A 23,794-nucleotide genomic window follows, 5' to 3' on the forward strand; every position below is an offset into this window, starting at 1 on the left:
TATAATTTCTGACTCATTTGCTTAATGGTTTCATTTGTGTTTAAAAAAGCAACATCAAACCTTCATTATTTACTTTCCGTGATGCTTTAAATACCACAGAATTCAGTAAGGCCATCAAAGAGACAGAGAGGCCAACATTAAACATTAATTTTTATTACTTTGGCAAAGAATTCTTGAGATAATTCAGCACAGAGGAACCAGTACAGGTCTCTGATAGCTGTACCAAGTGCTGATTAACTCAACCTCACAAAATCTCTTGCCTGTCAACAATTAGTGGAAACATACAGAAATATCTAAATATCCCAAAGATATTGGGGAGATATTTGGAAAGTATATGAAAACATTTAGAAACATCAGAAGTTTGAAAAACAAAGTTTTCCACATATATGAATGAGACTGGGGAAGGGAGTATGGTCTGTTTTCTTCTCACAATTTTATCACCCTGGCAGTTATTGGTGGAGAGAAGGTTCTCAGTAAGCATATGACGTATCTATTACTTTATCTTTACCTTGATTTCTCCATTCCCATAGCTTTAAAAGTCATTAGAGGAGATAAAACAGGGTCATTTATTTTGTATTGTCATATGTATGGATTTAGCAGCATGTGATATCTTTCCTTCCTTCCTTCCTTCCTCCCTCTCTCCTCCCTCTCTGGGTATTCCCTCCTTTCCTTCCTCCCTTTTTCTTTCCAGTATTTAATGACTCCTACTCTATGTCATTGTCTCTTATGACTGAGAGATGCATAAGGCTTAGTCTTGCCCTCAAAAAGCTTACAGTTTTTTGAGAGGTTACACACAAGTAAATGGGCAATTTCAATATAGTATAATAAATATTATGATAGAGGAAGTACACAGTGCCTTTGGGTCATTTAAGGAGAGCACTTAAACTCAGGGAATCAGGAAAGCCTTGTCAGGGGAAGTGCCATCTAATCTGAGTTTTGAAGGACAAGTTGAGTTAGCCAGAGCTAGTTTTCTATGGCTGAGTGGGCCAGATGGGAGGAGCCTGGACCTGAATTTAATCTCCCTGCTGGGGTAAGGCAGGTGTCGGTGGCCACCCCCAGCTTCAGGTGCTCAGATAGAGTCCAGTCCAGTAGTCATAGCATGGTAGCCAAAGGATTTTGCCTTGAGTTCATAATCAAGAAACGCCTCCAGGCCCTGGGGAGCAAGAGAGGAGATAGTAGTACTGGAAGTCTGCCAGACCTTAGACCTTAGGAGAGACACTTGTATGAACATGGTCAAGTGAAATTCTAGTGTCTGGAGACCATGACACAGCTCAGCCTGCACAGGGCTTGGGACGTGAGCTTTGTATGCACAGTGCAGTCCAGGATCCAGCCGACAGTCCAGTTGTTGCCTATACCCGCAGTCAATTGCCATGTTTTTTAGGAAGCCTCTGTCGAGCGACTCTAGAGGTGTTTCTCCCTTCCCTCTTATTACTAAACCTTACAGAAGCTAAGCTTGCTTCTAAGATATCTTTTAGGTTTAATATTCACAGGATTACAGTGTCTGCATTCCTTAGACGCTCCTATCATGCTGTGCTAGTCGGGCACTGTGCTAGGCACAGGGAATGTTGAGATAAAAGGAAGTTGGTTTGTTGTTTAAACTACCCAGATTGTGCATTGTTAAAAATTATTATTTTTTTGGAACTCTTAAAATTTTGTTTTGCCCAAAAAATTACATGACACTTTCCTCTTAGAAATAAGTTAGTTATATAATACAGAAATGTAAAGGCCAAAACATTAATATTTTCCTTCTTTAAATTCTAGCTTCTTTCACCAGCGTTAACAACTGATAACCTTCTCTTGTGTATCTTTTTAGTCCATTTTCTATGCTTGCATATCCATATATAATTGTATCAGTTGAGATTCCAGTAGGAAACAGATGGTACATTCAAATTAGAATAATTTAGACCGGGTGTGGTGGCTTATACCTGTAATTCCAGCACTTTGGAAGGCCAAGGTGGAAGAATCGCTTGAGGCTAGGAGTTTGAGGCTGCAATGAACTAGCATGGTGCCATTACACTCCAGTCTAGGTGACAGAGCAGGACCCTGGTCTCTAAACAACAACAGCAACAAAACCAAATTAGGATAATTGAGGTTTAGTTTAATAAAGGGACTATTTATATGATGTAGAGAGGGTATAGGGAAAGCACAGGGGATCATGATTATCAACCCTAAATCTGAAGGGGCACAGAGAGGAAGTGGTCATGGAAACCTGGACACAGAAAGGGTGCTGCAGAAAGGACCCTCTAATGGGCACTGAGACCTGTGATGGAGGGATGCAGCCAGTTCTTAGCAACCACAGGAAAGGGGCTGGGAATAAATGCACTCCTTCCTCTCTGCTTCTAAGCGCCCCCATTGACTGAACCCTATGGGAAGCCAAGGGAACAAGAAAACCTATTGATGTAGTCCATATAGGTCAGCCCCCTTAGCCAGAGAGCTGAGTGGAGAAAGGTGGAGAGTGGATCAGAGGGGCAAACAGAAGGTCTCCAGTACAAATACATACATAGCATATAGTTTTAGGAGCTTTTACTTTCTGTGCTTCCTTGTTACAGAAATGAGATTGTGCTGTAGTACGATTCTGGGACTTTTTGTTAACACAATTTGTCTTGAAGCCTTTTTGCATCAGTATGTATGGATCTAATTTAATTATTTTATTCATTGGCTGCTTAGTATTTCGTCATACAAGGTATCTGAACTTTTTAAAATTATGTATATGTAATAGTTGGTATATACAACAGAATATGTACCACCTATGTGAGTTATGAAGCCTAGCAATAAAACAGTCATCTGTAAATTTATCTCTCAACCTAAGATCACTAATACCATCGACCTTAGTCAATCAAACTACTTGACCTCAGATCATCAGGCAATCAGGCATTAGTTAGAATTACCTAAGGAGCATGCATGTGCAGTTCACAATAGGGTTTGGGTTTCTATGAGAATCTAATGCTGCCACTAATCTAACTGACAGGAGGCAGAGCTCAGGCAGTAATGCTCACTTCCTGTTGTGCGGCCATATTCCTAACAGGCCACAGACTGGTACCAGTATGCTAGCTGGGGGTTGGGGACCCCTGCTATACAGTCTTCCTGTGTCCCCTCACCCCGCCAATGCTAGTCTGAAGTTTTTTGTGTTAATTCTCTTATACTTTTTAAAAATAGTTTTTCCATATTATGAGTATGTTGAAACAATATATTATATAGTTACTTTTTAAAAAGCTTTATAAAATTGCCGTTTTAGTTGTACATAGTCTTTTACAATTTGCTTTTTTAACATAGCATTCATATTGCAGTGTGCAGCTGTGCTTCATTTATTTTCATAGCTTATAACACTCCATTGTGTGAATATGCCGCAATTCACCTCTCCATTCTACTGTTGATGGACTTTTGGGTCATTTCCAGTTTTTGCTGTTTCAAACAGTGCTGCTTATGAACATTTTTGTCCGTGTCTCCTGGCACATACATACAAGAGTTGCTCTAGGGTATATACCTAGGAGTGGAATTTCTGGGTCACGAGGTTTACACATACTTGGCTTTGCTAGGTAATGCCAAATTGTTTTCAATGGGATTATGCCAATTTACATTCCCATTAGAAGTATGTAAGAATTCTGGTTGTTCCTTTTCCTCCTTAGTGCATGGTATTTGCAGAAGGCTTAACTTTTTACCATCAATACTCTTTTCAGGGATACCAAGCAAAAACTTAATGAGAGTCTGACTCTGTTATCATAATAAATATTTTTCTACTTTTCTCTGTAAAAATGATTTTCTCTTTCTTGCCCTATTTTTTTTGCCTCATTGTTCCCTAAGTTTATGTCATCTACTAATAAATTATATTTAAAAATAATTAATACATTAAAACAAATCTGCCAAATGGGCCTTTCAATTCTTTCCAACTCTAAAATAAATGTAATTCTAGTAGAAATCCATATACAAATCATGGTTCATAAAACTGAAGGTTAACATTGCTACCATATGGAGAAGTTAGCTCACATACAAAAAGAGAAAACCATCAGTTCTCCAAATATTTCTTTTTACCAAATTTGACTTTAACAGCAAACTGGATTGTGTGTACTCTTGAAAGGAATAGTGCTCCATCTTGCTCTCCCTCTCTTTCTTCATCCTTCCTTAGTTTTGTTCTTTCTTTCTTTGCTTCTTTTATGTATTCATTCACTGATTCACTAAAACCCAGTGGAGAAGACAAATGAATTATTACTGTGTAGCCTGCAAATGGGATGATGAGGAATGGACAGATGTCTTTTGGAGTGAGAGAAGGAAACTTGACTTCTGTATTTCTTGAGTTCACTTCAGTTCTTAAGATAAAGTAGGTTCTACTGAGTATTTGCTAAATGAATGAACAAATCAATACTCTAAAATGTTTTCAGCTTTTTACTCATTGTAGTGTAGGAAGAGCTACATGGAGTTGAATTTCTATCAACTAGCCCATCTTTTATTACTGGAGTTAGTCTTCTTTGGTAATTTAATACTCAGAGTACCTCATATGATCTCTTTATCGATGCCTTCAGGAGACATTAAACGTTCTATCAATTAATTATACTTAAAAAGAATACCTTTTGGATTCATTCAAGCACTTCATCTTCTTTCCCCAAATCTTGGGAACTGGTGTCAGCTCCTTAAAATGAGCCAGCATGCTTTTTCACCCTCCCATATAAGTAAGAGCTTGTAATCACCCAGTGTTTCTCTGACCTAGAAAAGCTGAGAAATTCACATAAATGAAAACACAGGGGCTTACAAAATTGCTTTCGGCCCTCTCCCTTAGAAGCATATCTGGCACTTGGTAACTGGCTGGATGGAATGTGGGTACTACATGGAGTGCCCTGGTGCTGCTGCTGCTGCTGCTGCTGCTAGGCTTATATAACTTTGAAATCAGAAAGCAGATTCAGTGGGGTAGGGGAGAACTGCTTTTAACAAGCTGCTGGGATTGGCTGAACTTGTGCTGGCCTTGCACTCTTACTATTATAAACTTGATGTCTTTCTCATTTGTAAACTTTATTTGCATGCCAGAGCTCAGCTGAATTTGCCTGGGTTCCTAGTTTCTTTAATCTTTTGTCCTGACTGGCTTGCATGTAAATCAGCTTCAGACTTTCAGCTGCCCATATATTGCCCTAGTTTGCACTCTATAAAGAGTTCTTTCTTTGTAGGCTCCTGTCCAAAGCATGGCAGTATGTCTTAAAACTGTACAATATGGTTACTATTAGTAGTAATGAGTTGTTATTGAGTGTCAGTATGAGGTTGAGTAGATGGAGCAACCAAGGCAGCTTAGAACTGAGGGTTTCCCAGCTAACATGCTGTGGAACCCTGGAAAATTTGCCAAGCTCCTCCAGGTCTCCTATTCCATCCTGCCAGAGGTGATGTTTTTCTTTCCTGCTAGGTATGTCATGAATATAACTGAGAACCATGATTCTAAAACAATTAGAATGAAACTTTGTGATTTTATTTGATGAGATAAGCACTGTTTTCATATCTTTACATACATACTGCGTTGTTAAGTCCTATTGTCATAACCATGAATTAAATGTAGTCATTTTTATATTTTTAAATATAGCAATGCAAGAAAACTGAACTGATAGAGTGATAATAAGGCAGATAAGTGAAAGAGGAAGGTGTTTAGCCATTCAAGCTACTGCTGAAATAGTGAATCTCTTTAATGGTAATATATGAGCTGGAATGTTTATCCTTATCCTTTCCTCTAGAGAAGATTAATTTATTTGGCAATATCTAAATAACTGAGAATGGTATATTCCTCATTCATAACTTAGAGAAACAATTTGGCTACTTTTGTTGGCAGAACCTGAAATAGCATTGCCCTTCCAAAGACTGTTTAACTTGATTTCACAAGTAAACCACAAAATGCAATTATTTGATATTTTACCATATCCCATTCCCTTCTTTCATCCCCATAATGCAGGGGGCTGAGTTTGGATTTGCAAACCTTACTCCTTAGCCTAAGCCCTTACAATTGTTTGTATGTAATGCCAGATGCATGTTAAGGAAGGAATCCTATAGAGGCAGGTTACTTGGAGCGAAGTTTTCAGGGTGGCCAGCTCTGCCCAGTTGCCTTCTTTGGTCCCAGCGAGATTTGTAGTTTTGGTTTCTCTGTTTGAGGCTGGGTTGGGTGCAGGGACCAAGCAAATGAAAAACAGACCCTTGGGGTATAAAAGAGGTGAGACATAGGTCAAACAACCTATGGCTCCTCTAGCTGATACAGAAGATCCATCACCAACAACATAGGTTTATGGCTCAGTCCCATGACCTGGGTGGAATATCCGGAGCAGTTCTGGAAATATACCATCCATTATAATCATCTGAGTGCTTGATTAAAATGTATATTCCTTTAAACACAAACAACAAAAACAAAAACATGTAGATTCCTGGGACCCATGCTCAGATTCTGATTCACTAGATCTGGGGCGGGACCCAGGAGTCTGCACTGATGCAGATGTCACAGACAATTCTGATGCTGGTGCTCTAAGAGCCACACTTGGAAAAATTCAGTTTAGTGCCTCTTTGTCATTCTTCCCTTTGGCTCCTTGCCTTTATTTCAGGAAATAACTATGAATATGACTTTCAATGTCACCTCTAGGAGCTGCAGCCAGACATTCCTATGATGTACTTATAGCTAATCTAGTTGAGCTCCATTTGAGAGGATTCTAGATATATTACTTACTAGAGATCTGGCTTTCTAGAAGGCTCCCACTGGATCCAGGTAATGTCCAGTGGCTTGAACGATAGAAAGCTGGAGTCAGCAGCTGGCCTTCCAGACCCATACAAATCCTCTTTCTTTGGAAAGCCTCTAGCACTTCACTGTAAAATAACAGATAATCCCAGGCCAGAATTTTAATTAGAAAAGCTGAATGACCTGTAAGTAAATTATTAAGAATTTCAATATCAGCTAAGATCAATGGAACAGAACAGACAGCCCTGAGGTGCATCTGTAGATGCGTGTACACAATAATTAAGTTTGTTATAAAGATCCTATATACTATTTTCTCTGTATGTAATGGTGGGACCTATTTTCATACAATCCATAGATACAATTGAAATAATACAAATAATACAAATCATTGATAACTGACTACCATGGGTCAGGCCTTGTTCTGCACGATTTCTATATATTCTGCTAATACTCATAATAAGCAGCACTTTAAGTATTATTACTCTTCTCCTTTTATAGTTAAGAAACCAAGGCACAGGGAAGCTAAGTAACTTGCATAATGTTGCACAGCAAGAAAGTAGCAGGCTGGTCCTCTTGGTTTATTTAAGTTAAAATGAAATAATGGAGGAAATTAGGAATCTGAAGAAACCTCCATTTTCAAAAGAGTAGAAAAATAGATACCTGAAGGGCATCGTGGGGTCATAACATAACAACTGTGAGAAGTGTTGTAGCTTTTTGTATGTTTGTGAAATTTTTCAAAAATGTGTCTAGGTACAGTAGTTGAAGCTTCTAATGCATATTGGGGTTAATTCCAGGACTCTTATCGTCACTCAGGGTTTGACAAAGTAATAGTTATTTGTATTACTAAACCTTTTAGGCTGGAAGGTTTTGTACATTAATAGATGTTAAAGATCTTACTGCAGAAATTACTGTCATGATTTTGGAAGCCCTAGTTTAACCCACATTGATCATAATATGTCTCTGGCATGGTCAAGAAGTTCTTTTTTCCTGATTCAAGTACTTTATAAAGCATATTTAAAGGCTGGCTTCAATCTCTCTGGAGTTATACAGCCCTTCTGTTAGTCCTGGTACAATCCCTCTTGAGAATTTTTTCTTTTTTTTAGTGTTATCAAAAACACAGTAAGACGATTGATATTGCTTAGTACTGAATCCCGGAGTTCTGTCTATGATCAAAATATCCTCTGGCCCACCAGCCAAGATTCCAAAAGTGGTCTCATTATGGTTCATACCCAGTTTTCCATCCTACAGCCTTGGGTTGAGAGCTGCAGCCTCCCTCCAAAGTCCCCTCCAGGCAGTTCTGGGAGTTCTGAGGTGTTTCTAGTCTGTTCAGTCCATTTGTTCATGACCCCCTGCTTCTGTCGTCTCGTTAGTATATCCTGATATAATAAAAGTTTGAAAATATAATCAATGCTAGTAAGGAACAGAGTCCTATGCTGTACCATTTCTTTCTGAAGTGTAGCTTTGTTATTAAAAACAATAATAAAAAAAGGACTGGTACAAAATTTCCTGTTCTGGAGGTGTGGAGTTTTTCATATGTCAACCAGCTTTAACCTTTTGAAGGTTTAATGAAATCAGCAAATATAATCCACTGTACGAGAGTGGATATGAATCAAGTCTATCATTGTTGAACAAACGGCATTAATTTCCAGTGCACATGTGGATCTGAGTTTTAAAATATTGGTTTGAAAAATGTCAAGCTGCTCATTGTTTTAGAATATTTGAGCAGCTTGCTAGTATACTCTTTTTAAACAGTTGTACTTCTAAAAGGTTACAGTGTTTGCATATTTATTCCTTTCAATTTAAAAAATTCTTCCAGTGGCCTGGGTAGTAGGGAAATACCTCGAATTCCTTTTTTTATGGATTGTACTTCCTAGAGGGTATTAAAAAAAACTCCCTTTCACTTTTAGCAGTAGCTGAAGCTACAGGACTCACTTTACACCCCAGCGCTCATCATCATGTCTCCGGGTGAAGTTCTCTTCAGTGTCCCCAGAAGCTGTAGAATTAGATTGCTTAAAGCTCGTGGAAAAGCTTATATCTCCTATGTCCAGTGTCAGCCCCCTAGGAAGAAAAGAGCTCTGGGGGAACTAATGCTTGTTGAGTGCTCTAAGGAACCAGGGATTGGATGATGAGCAGGACGGCCATGGGCCCTGCTCTCCTGGAGATCATGGTTGCTGTTCAGCCAGGGTCAGTGGGGCAGAGAGCACAGTCGTCTCAAAAGTGGGTGTGGGGAGATCCATGAGGATGTTGGAAGCAAATATAAAACTGAGGGTTTTCTCATTTTGAATTTCCATTGTTGCAGATGTTTCATAATGCAGATAGTATATTGGTATTTTGGTGCATCTTTTACAACAAACTTAATTATTTTGTATACACATACACAGATGTGCTTCAGGGCTGTCTGTTGTGTTCCATTGATCTTAGCTGATATCTTTAAGAAGGATTGACAACTATATTTTAAAAATCTAATCTATCTAATCAGGAAATTGATTTAAACAAAGCACTCCATGCCATACAAGATTTGATTGAGCTGTTTTTTCTTTTTTCCCAAGATGAAAGAGTGCCTAGGAGCGTGGTTATTTTTGCCCCTATATCCAATTTAGCACCTCTTTCAAGTTAGGTTTGAAGTTGGAAGAATTACAACATATTTCTATAAAATAATCTGTTTAATGATATGATGTTTCATTTCTTACTAAAACAAAACCCTTCCCATTAACTTGTTCGCTTGTCCCCATTTTATCATATATGCCTAGGGAGAAGTCTCCATTAACTGGTTTCTTCCTGCTCCTAAACTGTATCCTCTTTCTTAAGCAAGTTCTCCACACTATTAGTTTGCTTTCAGGTTCCCCTGTGTTTGCTCTCTGTTCAAAACTGGTGATGCTGTGAATTGTAGTCAGCTCAAGTGACTTCCAGGTGACTTGCCTTCAGCAGTGGCTGCTCATTTCATGCACTGCAGAATCCCTGGGTCATGCTGACCTGTTGATGATACCAGCATCACAGACTGCACATATCAGGCCTGCTTTCTATGATGCTGGTTTTCCAATTAACTTTGTGAAAAGGTATATCCCTGCTTATGTCTTCCTGGTTATCCAGCTCCTCTTGCATTTGATTTCATCTTCAGCACTCGTCTGTTTGCCAGTTTTCCATAGTAGAAAGATAGATTTTTTTTCAAAAACGACTCTTCCCTTTTAGTTCCATTCCATAGGACTTCTAAAACAGATACTTGCATTGCTTTCATTTCCAAAACAAAATTATTTGATAATTACAAAAATAATTCTAGAAAATAATTGTCATGTTAGTTTGCTATATTGAATATTTTTTGGGACTTCTAGATTTAATGTATCACATTTCACTAATTGAAAGAAAATTATTATCAGCAAGATAAATCTGTTTGGGAGTGTTTACTTATTTCTTTAATTTTCTATTTTTTTATTATACTTTAAGTTTTAGGGTACATGTGCACATTGTGCAGGTTAGTTACATATGTATACATGTGCCATGCTGGTGCGCTGCACCCACTAACTCTAGTTATATCTCCCAATGCTATCCCTCCCCCTCCCCCCACCCCACAACAGTCCCCATAATTTTCTAAATTAACATGCCCCTCCATAATTCTGAAATCCAAATTAAACTAGTATTTCTGGTACCTCAAGATTCCCTAAATGGAGCTTCCTGGGTCAGTACGCCACTTAATCTAACTTGTGAAGAAAGACTTCAGCACTCAAACTCATTCTGACCCTGTGGACTTTGCTTCAGCTGCTCCCTTTGGCTGTAGTTCTCTTTCTCAGAGCTTCATGTGGCCAGCTCTTATCACTCAAGTCTCAACTCAAACCTTACTTTCTTGGAAAGACCGTTTTCTGGCCGCTGAGGTCTCTGCCACTATCTGTCATAGAATTTGATTTTATTTTTTCACATCATGTGTCAGTCCCTGGAATTATTTTTGTTAACTTGTACATCTACTGTCCTCCAATTAGAATGTAAGTTGAGAAGAACAGAGCCATTGTCTGTCAAGTTCATTGCTGTATCCCCAGTACATAGTATGGTGGCCAGCACACAGTGGTTTGATAAATTCTTGGTGAATGCATGGATATAACATTTGAGAAATGCTGCATAAAATATCATTCAATGGGTTTCTCTAGAGTGAGATATATTGGTACAGCATTTTCCAAATATATTTGACTAAGAACATGTATATATGCCATGTGCCACATAATGCAGTTTTGATCAATGACTGGCCACATGTATGAAAGTGGTCTCACAAAATTATAATGGAGTAGGCTATATCATCTAGGTTTGTTATGTACACCCTATGGTGCTTGCACAACAAAGAAATTGCCTAAATGACACATTTTTCAAATGTATCCCCATTGTCTCCTACTATTGGTCTGTATGACTGTCATTATGTCAGTACCATATTGTTTTGATTACTGTAGCTTTGTAATACATGTTGAAATCAGGAAGTGTGATGTTTCCAGCTTTGTTGTTTTTTCTTATAATTGATTTGGCTATTTGTGGCCTTTTGTGGTTCCATATAAATTTTAGAATTGTGTTTTCTATGCCTGTAAAAAAACAAACAAACAAACAAACAAACAAAAAACTGCTATTGGGATTTTGATAGGGATTGTAGCCAAGCAGCTTGGCTTCAAAAATGCATTTTAAAACTTTTTTTCTCCTTTCTCTTTTCTCCTTAATCTCAAGATGTAACCTTGAAGCTAACTGCAGAAGCATTTCCCCTTAACCTTAAAATAAGACTTCATGTCCCTCTCTTTCCCATCATTATCTAACTGTATGCTAGTATCTAATTATGTGCTTACTTAAAGTTCTGGGACTTAATCTTGAGACAGGCAGACCAAACCCGGAAACCCTGCTTCAAAATTTCAGATAACCTCAAGGTAGCTAGTCAACAACTTGGCCATTGTTGAGATGATGCCAGCCCATGCTCCAGGTGGACCAAGACCCAATATAGCAACCAAAACAAGACACGCAGATCTAGTACTTAGCGCGACTCCTGCTTGCCTTCCATATCAAGTCTCCCCTTTTTAAATACTTAGCTTCTTCCTAGAAATTCAAAGTGGTTACTTTGGATAGGGAATCTGGCCACTTCCCCATTACTAGTTTTGGTTAATAAAGTCACTTTCTTTCTACCAGATCTCTCTCTTGTTAATTGGACTCTGTAAGCAGTGAGTGGCCAGACCTGTGTTCAGTTACAAGATGACATTGAATCTTTAGGTTGCTTTGGATAGTATGAACATTTTAACAGTATTAATTTTTCCAATTTGTGAACTGCAGCCTGTAAGTTTTGATATATTGTGTTTTCATTTGTTTATATTGAGGTATTTCTAATTTCCTTTTTGATTTCATTTTGACACAATGGTTGTTTAAAAGTGTGTTCTTTAATTTCCATGTATCTATAGATTTTTCAGTTTTTCTTTTGCTATTGATTTCTGTGTCATTCCATTGTGGTCAGAAAAAATACTTGGTATGATTTCTACCTTCTTAAGTTGGTTAGGACTTTTTTTGTAACCTAGCATGTTACCTACCTTGGAGAAAAATTTGGGGGCACTTAAGAAAAATGTGTATTCTGCCACTGCTGGGTGAAATGCTCCGTATGTATCTGTTAGGTCTGTTTGATCTATAATATTATTCATGTCCTCTGTTTCCTTACTTATCTTCCGTATTGATGTCCTCTTCATTATTGAAAGTGTGGTATCGAAGTTTCCTACTATTACTGTATTGCTATCTATTTCTTCCTTCAGTTCTGTTAATGTTTGCTTTACATATCTAGGTGCTCTGATGTTGGATGCATATATATTTATAATTCTTATATCTTCCTGATGGATTGACCTTTTTAATCATTGTATATGTCCTTCTTTGTCTCTTGTGATAGTTTTTGACTTAGAGTATGTTTTGTCTAAGGATAGCCACCCATGCATTCTTTTGGTTACCATTTGCTTAGAATACCTTTTTCTAGCCCTTCACTTTCACCCTGTATGTCTCACTAAGTCTAAAGTGAGTTTCCTGTGGAGTGCATGTAGTTGGGTATTTTGTTTGTTTTCCATTCAGCTACTCTATGTCTTTGGATTGGGAATTAATTCATTAAAATTCAGTGTAATAATTGGGAAGGGGAGGATTTAATATTGCGGTTTCATTAGTTGTTTTCTTTTAGTCCTATAGTCCTTTTGTCAGTCTTTTCCTTTCTTACTGTCCTCGTTTATGTTTTCTTGATTTTTTTTTTTTGTATTCATATGCTTTAATTCTTGTTGACATTTTTAGTATTATACCTTTTCATGGGTTTTGGAATTTTCGTTTGCTGACTCATTTTGAGTGGGATGTTTTTACATTCACTTTTTATTACATTTTTTCCCTTTCTCTGGGCTTACTCTTGTTTTCCTTGAGGTTTTGTGATCACTTTTATCTGGTCTGAAAGACTTCCAGTCCAGACCCAGGTTTTATTATGTTCTATCAGCCACCCTTGCCAATGGTGATATTGGGGATATCACATACTCTGTTATCAAGCGAGCAGGTGGTTTGATTCTGTGCCTGGGTCTGAATCACATCTTTGTCAACTTTTCCCTCACAGGCTTAAATTTTTATAAAACTGCTTCTCTTAGTGTGTCGTGTTTTTTGTTGTTGTAGTTGTAGTTTTGTTTTTAGCTTCTTCTTATTAGCCCAACCTCCTTGTTTGGCTTTACAGTTAACCTGGCTTAGGTCTCCTTATCTCCAGTGAGCCAATTTTAGATTCTCTTATCCTGTAGGAGCAGAATGCCCAGCAGTCAGTGCTGGCTTCTAAATCTGGAGCCTTGCAGGTTCCCTGACTTCAGACTTACTCACTGCTTGTGATTCTAATGCGTTTCTAGTCCACAGAGATGTTTATCTGGTTCTTGGAAACAAACTATAAACATTTTTATGTTTACTTTTTATGTTTCATCTTTAATTATCACGTTTGGAATAGGAGGAGTTTTATAATGGTGTGAATTTGCTGAATCATGTTGACCAGAAGTCTCACCATTACTTCTGAAGCATTTTAAAGCATATTTCTGTCCTAATTTCTTGTCCATAGCTCTGTATGATTCTGACCTTTGAAGACTATAATAAAGGTTCATCATTTTTTAATGTACTTATTGTTTATACTCATCACTGAGAGAAAATAAGTTACATTACACAGTAGTCGAGAATAAACTTCTTTAATGGGTTTATGTGACTAAAATTGTAAAGGTCAGGGGAATTAATGGGAAATTTGTTTTAATTATGCATTGATCACAAAACATAATATTGTTTTCTTTAAGGAACTGAACTTGCTGGATTCTGAATCATATTTTATTACTAAACAGAAACAAATAAACTCAGATTGATTTATTGACCCTGCTGTATGCCAGGCCTTGTGAGGAATACATGGGAAGGAAATAAAAAGGTCTCTGTCATTAGAAAGGCTGGTGTTTCTCAGCTGAAGGCTGAGGTTGGAGGGTCTCCTCCTCCCCTCTCCCCAGTAGAAATCTGTGAGAATCTGAAATAGGAGGCTTTTTAATTTTCAAACTATGCACCCTATCTCCATTTCCCAGCCCCCTACCACCAGGGGAGTGTGTCTGTTGCCCCTCAACTGCTTCAGAACTACTATCAGAGCCACTTTTACCAAGAACATACACCATAGCAATTGGACATTATGAAAACAATAAAATATGTAATTAAATTCTAAAATGAATTAGGATGCTAGATGGATTGAGCATACACTGGATACTAGGCAATGCATTAGGACCTTCCTTACAATTGCTGTTACATCAACTCTGTGGACAGATGTTAACATCCATTTTTAGATACACAAAAGAGGGAGCGCAGAGAGCTCAAGCAGCTTGCTGAGGTTCCTAGTAAGTGGCAGAGGTGGACTTCAAATCCCGGCCTGCTTGCCTCTGAAACCCAGATCTTAATTACTGTGTTGTAATAAGAGGGAGAAAGACAAGGTTAAAATATGTCCTACTGTATTGTGGTTTACTGAAGGAATTTATGGAGATTAAAATTCATAAATTGTTATAGAGTTAAAACAGATGAAATAATGCTTCTTTGACAGACCATTTAGTTTTTTCTTTCATCTTTAAACAACGCTGCACTAAAATTTGTCTGTAATGGCATAAAAAAAACCCTGATATTTGCCTTTTCTTCTCCATTCCCCATGCTTGTCAATCGTTACAGAGATTATGCTCAAATGTGATATCAGGAAATACTTTTAGTCCCCAGCTTAAGCTTCTCATTTCTATGTGAAATATGGCAGACTTTTGATGCTTTCTCTAAGGTCCCGTTCTGGATATTCTCCCTGTGTTCAAGGCCCTTTTAGGGAGAGAGCCAGTCTATGGCCAGTCTTGCCAACTCTGTAAATGCAATTTACATTCTTAAAATTCGCTATCACCAGGTCAAAACTAGCCCCTGGTGCATTTTGGGAAGCTTCAGTTCAAACACCTGAATTCATTTTCACCAATGCTACCTGGTTACCTTGTAACTCCAGAGTTTTTTAGAGAGGTTTTGTATATGATTGCTTGAGCTATAGCTTTTTCCCTTTTTGTAAGCTATTATTGAAATAAAAACGTAACTTACCTATTTCACGGTGTATGGATGTTTTTAAGTGGAATAAGTTCATGCTGTTTTAACTTAGGTTCACCAAACAACATTTTTAGAATATTTTCACCTTTCTAAATAATGTGCTTTTGATTGATACTCCCTCTAATTCAAACTGGCAGTGCATAGTACCCTAAACCAGTGCCCGCATAAGCAGTCTGTATAAAACATGCTTATGCTTTTCAGCTTCCCAAGTGAATCTTTCCTAGAGAGAATTGTTTTTTTTTTGAATGTTTGAGGTCATCTTACAATAATTATGCATAATCAGTAATGGAAACAATTTAAAGAGTTTACACTATGTGCCCGGAATATGATCATGATAAACAAGTCATCTCATTTATTTCTTACAACACACTTTTTAAGGGTAGGTTCGTATTATCATTCCCACTTTACAGAGAGAGAAACAAAGGTTAGAGAGATTAAGTAACTTGCTCATGTCAAGGTGGTAGTGAGAAATTATTGAAAGCACCCATTATGCCATGTGAGTAAGCAAAAACTGGCAGATTAATTTTTAGCATACTCAAATAAAAGGTCATGCATTAGAAAAAAAGCAGTCAAAAGTAGCTTCTGCCCCATCTTTAGTGAAGCATACAGAGGGATATGATTGAAATAGTCCTCAGCTCTGGGTCAAACTCTCTGGCTTCTATTTTCAGGCCCTGCCACTTGGGCAAACATTCCTTCTCTGTGGAAAAGTAGAATGTTGGCCACAATCTCCTAAAGTCATTCTAGCTTTGATAGGGTGTGATTGTAGGAGCCTGCAAAGGAATCTAGAATCATTGTAGGTTTCCTAATGTCTGTAGCTCTATGCAATTAAAAAGATTGAGTAAATCTTGGGAGCTGTCAAGAAGGTTCTTACAGTTTATATATAACATACAAAAAAATGTATAGGATATATCATAGTTTTGCTTGCTACATCTCCAAAATCTAGTGGAATTCAAGAAAGTTTCAGAAGGAACCACCAAAATGGCATGATGAGACTATTATAAGGGGTATAGCAATCTTTAGCCTGCAAATAGAGAAAAAAGTCTTATTTAGAAATGTCTACAAAATTATGATTGTTATGTATTTCATACTTAAGAAAGTAATTTTAGTTGAGATAAAATGAAGTACTGTTTTACACAGTGGATGATAATTTTGTGGAACTTTCCATCTGTAGAATCAAAACATAAAAAATAAATGTGAAAACAGGCAAATGTAGAAATAACAGTCCATCATGGATTATCAAAGGACACTATAAAGTATGGAGTTCTCCCCTAAAAGCTGGTATTGATAGGGATCTTAGTTATTATGCCTTCCTACTGTATGTGCCAGGGTTCCAATGGAAGTTGTCAATACAGCATAGCTCCAATTCAGGAAGGCAAATTTTAAGTCATAAAAGGTTCTGTTTAGGATGGCAGATTTCCTTAATCATTAATTTTATTAGTAGTATAATATAATGTTAAATTTTTGTTTTGGTTCCAGTTGAAGAGCAGCATGATGATAGGAATTTGCACTAGAAAACAATACTAATATCACAGGAAAACATTAAGAGTTTCTTCTCTCTGAATAGTGGTCATAATAAGCCCATCCTTCCTTTTCATAGAGGTTGATGGTGTCTTTGGAGATGATCTATCTCACGGCCTCCTCAGGGCAGGTGTCCATTGTTTACCTGGCAGGTGTTCCTTGCACCTCTGCTTGAACACTGCCCATATTTGGCAGCTTATCCTCTGGGGAGTACTGTTCCCTTGTGGGACTGCTCAGGTTTATTCTTTACTGAGCTCAAATCTATGTGCATATGCTCTTTCTCACTGGCCTGATTATTCCTTCAGGGCAAGTCTACTCTTCTTGCAGATGAAGCATCTAGCCCCTTACAGTCTTCTCTTCTCCAGTGTAATATATTCTGCTGCTCTTCAAGCAGTGCATTTCTAGACACTGGAAAATCCTGTCAGTTCTTTTCTGACCACTGTCTCTTTTCCAAACTCTTTCCTCAGGTGTCCTGGACGGAAACAAAAGGGAGTAAAAAAGTGTTGGATTTATTTAGAATAAAAAGGGAGTATTACTTCACATAATCAACAGCATTATTTTATTTTTATCAATGAACCTTAAAATCTTTAAAAACATTTTCCCATGACTGAGATACTGTTAGCTCAATATGCTTGTGGCCACCACCTGAGTTTCCTGATTGTTGCCAGACAGACCGCTATCAACTCACCCTCTCAAAGTGCAGTGTGTGCTTCAGATTTATCCCCACTGAATTATCTTGTCAGTTTTAAGCTATTATTTGTGCTTCAGGATATTTTACAATCTTGATTATTTGGTCCAACATATTAATGATTCATCTTATATTTTTATCATCTTAAAATTCATAAGAATATCTCCAAGGTATTGATGGAAATGTTAAACAAGATTGTATCAAGGGCCGAGTTAAGTTAAGCAATGCTAACATTCAAAACTTAATGAGAAATATAATTTAGTAAGAATGGTACTTTGATGCTTGTATTTCCTTTAATCTTGCTCTAATTTATAGCCTATTAAAATATACTGTTTATGCTAATAAATACAAATTAAATTTTAAAATACATGTTTTTGTTTGTATTGTTTTTTCAAAAAATGCACAATTGAGAAAAAAAGTCCACTTTTCTTTCTTTTTTTTTAAGGTTTTCCACAGGTTGTGATTATTCAACACATGGCTACAATCGACTAATGAGATTTAACTGATTTAATGTATGATAATATAATCTAATGACAAGTCAAAATAATTAGGGGGACAGGGACAACCTCATGAGTGTTGACTTTAAAAATCTAAATCCACAACATGACAATAATGTCACAGTGTCCATTGATGAAGAAAGTGAACAGTCTTTTTTTAATGATGTTCTTTTATTTTAGTTGATTGCATTTAGAGAGAGGACAACTAAACTATTCATTCTCCTTTGTGGTATCTATTAAGTTTTAAAAATTACCTTGTCTTTCTGTTATTTTTTTTATTTATTTATTATACTTTAAGTTTTAGGGTACATGTGCACAACATGCAGGTTTGTCACATATGTATACCTGTGCCATGTTGGTGTGCTGCACCCATTAACTCGTCATTTAACATTAGGTATATCTCCTAATGCTATCCCTCCCCACTCCCCCAACCCCACAACAGGCCCCGGTGTGTGATGTTCCCCTTCCTGTGTCCAAGTGTTCTCATTGTTCAATTCCCACCTATGAGTGAGAACATGCGGTGTTTGGTTTTTTTGTCCTTGTGATAGTTTGCTGAGAATGATGGTTTCCAGCTTCATCCATGTCCCTACAAAGGACATGAACTCATCATTTTTTATGGCTGCATAGTATTCCATGATGTATATGTGCCACATTTTCTTAATCCAGTCTATCATTGTTGGACATTTGGGTTGGTTCCAAGTCTTTGATATTGTGAATAGTGCCACAATAAACATACATCTACATGTGTCTTTATAGCAGCATGATTTATAATCTTTTGGGTATATACTCAGTAATGGGATGGCTGGGTCAAATGGTATTTCTGGTTCTAGATCCCTGAGGAATCGCCACACTGTCTTCCACAATGGTTGAACTAGTTTACAGTCCCACCAACAGTGTAAAAGTGTTCCTCTTTCTCCACATCCTCTCCAGAACCTGTTGTTTCCTGACTTTTTAATGATCACCATTCTAACTGGTGTGAGATGGTATCTCATTGTGGTTTTGATTTGCATTTCTCTGATGGCCAGTGATGATGAGCATTTTTTCATCTGTCTTTTGGCTGCATAAATGTCTTCCTTTGAGAAGTGTCTGTTCATATCCTTCTACCACTTGTATGGCCATACTGCCCAAGGTAATTTACAGATTCAATGCCATCCCCATCAAGCTACCAATGACTTTCTTCACAGAATTGGAAAAAACTACTTTAAAGTTCATATAGAACCAAAAAAGAGCCTGCATTGCCAAGTCAATCCTAAGCCAAAAGAACAAAGCTGGAGGCATCACGCTACCTGACTTCAAACTATACTACAAGGCTACAGTAACCAAAACAGCATGGTACTGGTACCAAAACAGAGAAATAGACCAATGGAACAGAACAGAGCCCTCAGAAACAATGCCACATATCTACAGCTATCTGGTCTTTGACAAACCTGACAAAAACAAGACATGGGGAAAGGATTCCCTATTTAATGAATGGTGCTGGGAAAACTGGCTAGCCATGTGCAGAAAGCTGAAACTGGATCCCTTCCTTACACCTTATACAAAAATTAATTCAAGATGGATGAAAGACTTAAATGTTAGACCCAAAACCATAAAAACCCTAGGAGAAAACCTAGGCAATACTGTTCAGGACATAGGCATGGGCAAGGACTTCATGTCTAAAACACCAAAAGCAATGGCAACAAAAGCCAAAATCGACAAATGGGATCTAATTAAACTAAAGAGCTTCTGCACAGCAAAAGAAACTACCATCAGAGTGAACAGGCAACCTACAGAATGGGAGAAAATTTTTGCAATCTACTTATCTGACAAAGGGCTAATATCCAGAATCTACAATGAATTCTGTTATGTTTTTAAAATAATTATTCCTTATGGACTTTCAGTCTAAGCTAATTTTTATTTGTTCTCTCCAGCAGGTCTATCTTTATAACATTCAAGCTCCCCCTACTCCTTATCCTTGGAGTTCACTTTTATGGGGACAAAAGATGAGTTTTCTGTGCTTTGGAAAGCATGATTATGCTTCATGTTAGCTTTGGAATTAGAAGAAATCATTTTCGGACCATTTTTTTTGAGTTGTGATACACAAACATTATAAGGTTAATCAGCATTTTGGCTTATTAGTGGCCCTTGATTCTTAGGAAACTAAGATAATTCTCTTTTTCCTGCAGATGTGACATTTGACTATGAATATTGAAGTTAAACTTCAATTCATTGTATTGTAAATGGAAAAGAAGAGTTTTTCATTTTAGGTATATATACATAATACATATATTCTTTTCCTTGGCTCTCATCATGTTTATATTAGATACAAAACTAGTTAACATGTCTAGTCTGGCATTTTTCCTCCAAGATATATAAATTCTAATAAAAAATAAGACAAGATTGGGGAATGGGGATAATAGTATTCTTTTAAACAAGGATGCAAGAAAATGAAATGTTTAATTTTTGCAACATCTCCTTTCTAAAACAAAATATACTGATGGAAATTTGGCTTGTTTCCTAGAGTCTCAACACAGGAGTTATTAACTGCGATGACCGGGCTAATACTATGTGAGGTGGAGTATGATAAAAGGATTAAAAGCTAGAGGTACTGTGCTTGGATAGCAAGCTGGATGCTTGTGCAGGCATGGAGCCTTTCAAAGTAAAGTTGGCTCCTTGACACTCTGTCCTGCAGCTTGCGCTGATTTTTAAGATCATTGAAAATCAGGTCATTGAGAAGTCTTCTTTTAGGGATGTCTGTAACATTCTTTGACTGTCTTATGTTTAAGCTAGAATTTAAGCATCCAAATAAAAGTTGTTCTCAGGTGTCATCATCATAGGAAGCCATTCAGCTACCCTAAAGTTCACTAAAAAGTCCTGGAACTTGAGGTGATTGACTTCTGACTCCCCATTGTCAGTGTGGTCCAGGGACATGGCAGGCAGGAGCCAACTGCTTAAGGTAGAAATGCTTTGAGTAACTTTCATTTAAACTGCACAGACTATCATGGCTGGGTATTTTTCAAAGCTACATAGGGTTCTGGAATTTTAGAAACCATTAGGGGCCAAGAAGAATCTGTCAGCTTATAGATCTAAATGTTCAAAATTTAAGTTAAAGCCTGTTTCTTTTGGTAGGAAGCACCTTGACTCCCATTTTTTATAATGAAAGATTGATGATATCTCTATTAGCCTGTTTAAACTGAGCCATAAAAGAGTCTGTAGGAGGCCAGGTACAGTGGCTCATGCCTTTAATCTCAGCACTTTGGGAGGCTGAGGCAGGCAGATCACTTGAAGTCAGGAGTTCCAGACCAGGCCAACATGGTGAAAACCGGTATCTACTGAGAGTACAAAAATTAGCCAGGCCTGGTGGCACGTGCCTGTAATCCCAGCTACTCAGGAGGATGAGGCATGAGAATCACTTGAACCTGGGAGACAGAGGTTGCTGTGAGCCAAGATCACACCTCTGCACTCCGGCCTGGGTGACTGAGTGAAACTGTGTCTCAAAAAAACAAAAAAAAAAAAGTCTGTAGGGTACCAAATGCTTTTTTTTTTTTGGAGACAGGATCTGGCTCTGTGGTACATACTGGAGTGTAGTGGTGTGTTCATGGCTCACTGTAGCCACAGTCTTCTGGACTCAAGTATCCTCCTACCTCAGTCCACCTTCCCCTCTCCAGTAGCTGGGACTATAGACGTGCACCACTACACCCGGCTATTTTTTTTTTTCAATAGAGATGAGTTCTCACTACATTGTACAGGCTGGTCTTGAACTCCTGGCCTCAATTGATCCTCCCTCCTTGACTTCCCAAAGTGCTCAGATTACATGTGTGAGCCACCATGCTCGGCCTTCTTCTTTTCTAAAATCCCACCCACTTAGCATGACAAAGGCCTGGGACATAATGGTAAGTGAATAGTTGTAAGGAATGAGAAGTTTTAGCTGTGCACTGTACCATGCTTGGATTTGATTATGGGAAAGATGATCAATATTAACATAGAAGTTACCTAAACTCTCTGTGTCTTTTCCCTTACCTCAGGAAGTTCAAATACAATGTTGTAATTCAGCTCTTCTACTCTTCCTGTCCTCTCAAATGAGACAACTTATACTGTGGTTGCTGAGGCTAAATAGAGGAGGAATTCAAATACATGGTTCTTCTACTTAAGATCATCTCCAGTTGCATCAAATCATGACTTCTGGATGCAACCCAGTTGCCTCCATTTCATGAGAATGGTTTCCTTCCATAGACATTCTCTGCTGTTCCCCTATCATTGTCAAATCAATGTTTAATCAATTCCAGCCATTTCTTGCAAATCCACTGCAATCACATTTTATAAATCTACCTAGTGCTTGGTTTTCATGCGCCGCAGATAAATTAGGTCCTTCTTGTTTTATCCTGAGCTATCAGTCTAGTAACATGCTCACAGCATGCAACCAGGAATAGGCATGATCTCCTTTTTGTGAGTCTAATCTGAGTGTCCTTTACAAGTAAGAGGGGATAGTCTGAGAGTGGAAACAGCTCTTTTCAGGACCAGCTGGGTGATCCATGAGCATTTGAACAGATGGCCCATTTTTGTGGGAAAGGATTCTGTATCCTACAAGCTAACACCCAACAGCTTCACTGAAAAAAAAAAAAAAAGCTTGAAGATAAGAAATCAATTCAAGAGGAACCCACATGTTTGCTGTGTTGCCTCTGAACACACCCTGTATGTCAAGAGCTTAGCTTTATTCTGTAGACCACCTAGTCAGAATCATTGGGGAGGAAAATATTTGTTCAAACATAGTCCCTTTTGTCTGTGCTGGGCAATAGCACAATACATTCAGCAACCACCCTCTGAAAGCCAAGGCTTTGTCTCCAGTGGGGATTATGAAAACATGGATTTCTTGAGAAGTGCCTGCCCACCTGTGTTTAGATTTTAAATTTTAGGAAGATGCTTGACAGCCAGAAAAGAGGTGCTCAGGGAAAAGTCTGTTGAGATTATAGAGACTTTTTGAAAGACCATTACCTCCTTTAAAATGATTAGAATAGAAGAGGAATTCTTGAAAACTGGCATGGAATATCGTATTAGATGGAACCTTGGAAGGTTTTATTTATCCCTTCTCTTTTAGCTTTCTGTCTAAGGCCTCAGAATGTAGTCTATTTTAGAAAATCTCCAAGGCAGGAAATTTTTCATAACCTTTCCCCTGTTAGTCATTTTTTTTAACTTCAACAAAAGCCTGCATCAGAAGCTTCTTGCTCGCTTATATGACCCTAACGCTCACTGCTGCAGTCCAAGCCTGGCTTCCTTTGCACTTTCTTTTGCTGTTCATATTCTTCACAGTGGGACCTGTCTTAGCTGAAGCCCATTATTAGGTCACTCCTTGGCCTCTTCTCTAAGGCTAAATAATGAGTTATTTTTTTTTCTCCTTTTTTGGTACATCATATTTTTTCAACCATTTAATGATTTTTGTTGTTGAAAATTTGGGGATTTCCTGTGTCTGGAAATGCATTAGGCCTCAAACTTTGTACCCCTAAGACTTTTCCTGCTACCTTTTAAAAGACACCAAGTAAAATTAAGACTAGGAGAAGACAGCTGCTGCAATTTTTAAAAAATCACAAAAGCAAAAAAAAAAAAAAAAAAACCAAAAACACCGAGTAGCTGTCTTTCTGGTTTTTGATTGAGCAAGATATTTGTAAAATGAAGCATACTTTATTGTCAGATGGGCCTGTTGTTTACTGACAATTGACCAACATGAATGTGGTCAGGTTTAGATGAATATCTATACAACTCACATAATTTTTAATGAAGGGAGTTAAAAGCTAAGCATGCCAAGAAAATAAGTATGACTCAAAAGTGGCCCTTTCTTAGTAT

At 37.7% G+C, this 23,794-nt stretch overlaps 1 protein-coding gene and 1 long non-coding RNA gene across 2 annotated transcripts in view; one reads left to right on the forward strand and one right to left on the reverse strand.

Annotated features, from left to right (window-relative positions):
- CPQ (carboxypeptidase Q) overlaps positions 1 to 23,794 on the forward strand; it is a 498,260-nt gene that overhangs the window by 291,105 nt on the left and 183,361 nt on the right. The gene's annotated exons all lie outside the window — the stretch shown is intronic.
- LOC101927066 (uncharacterized) overlaps positions 15,518 to 23,794 on the reverse strand; it is a 494,634-nt gene continuing 486,357 nt past the window's right edge. Inside the window, exon 3 of the long non-coding RNA NR_125390.1 lies at positions 15,518 to 17,264. This is a non-coding gene — a long non-coding RNA (uncharacterized LOC101927066). The remainder of the gene's footprint in view (positions 17,265 to 23,794) is intronic.

This window comes from Homo sapiens, chromosome 8 (genome assembly GCF_000001405.40).
Source record: "Homo sapiens chromosome 8, GRCh38.p14 Primary Assembly".
Taxonomy (NCBI): domain Eukaryota; kingdom Metazoa; phylum Chordata; class Mammalia; order Primates; family Hominidae; genus Homo; species Homo sapiens.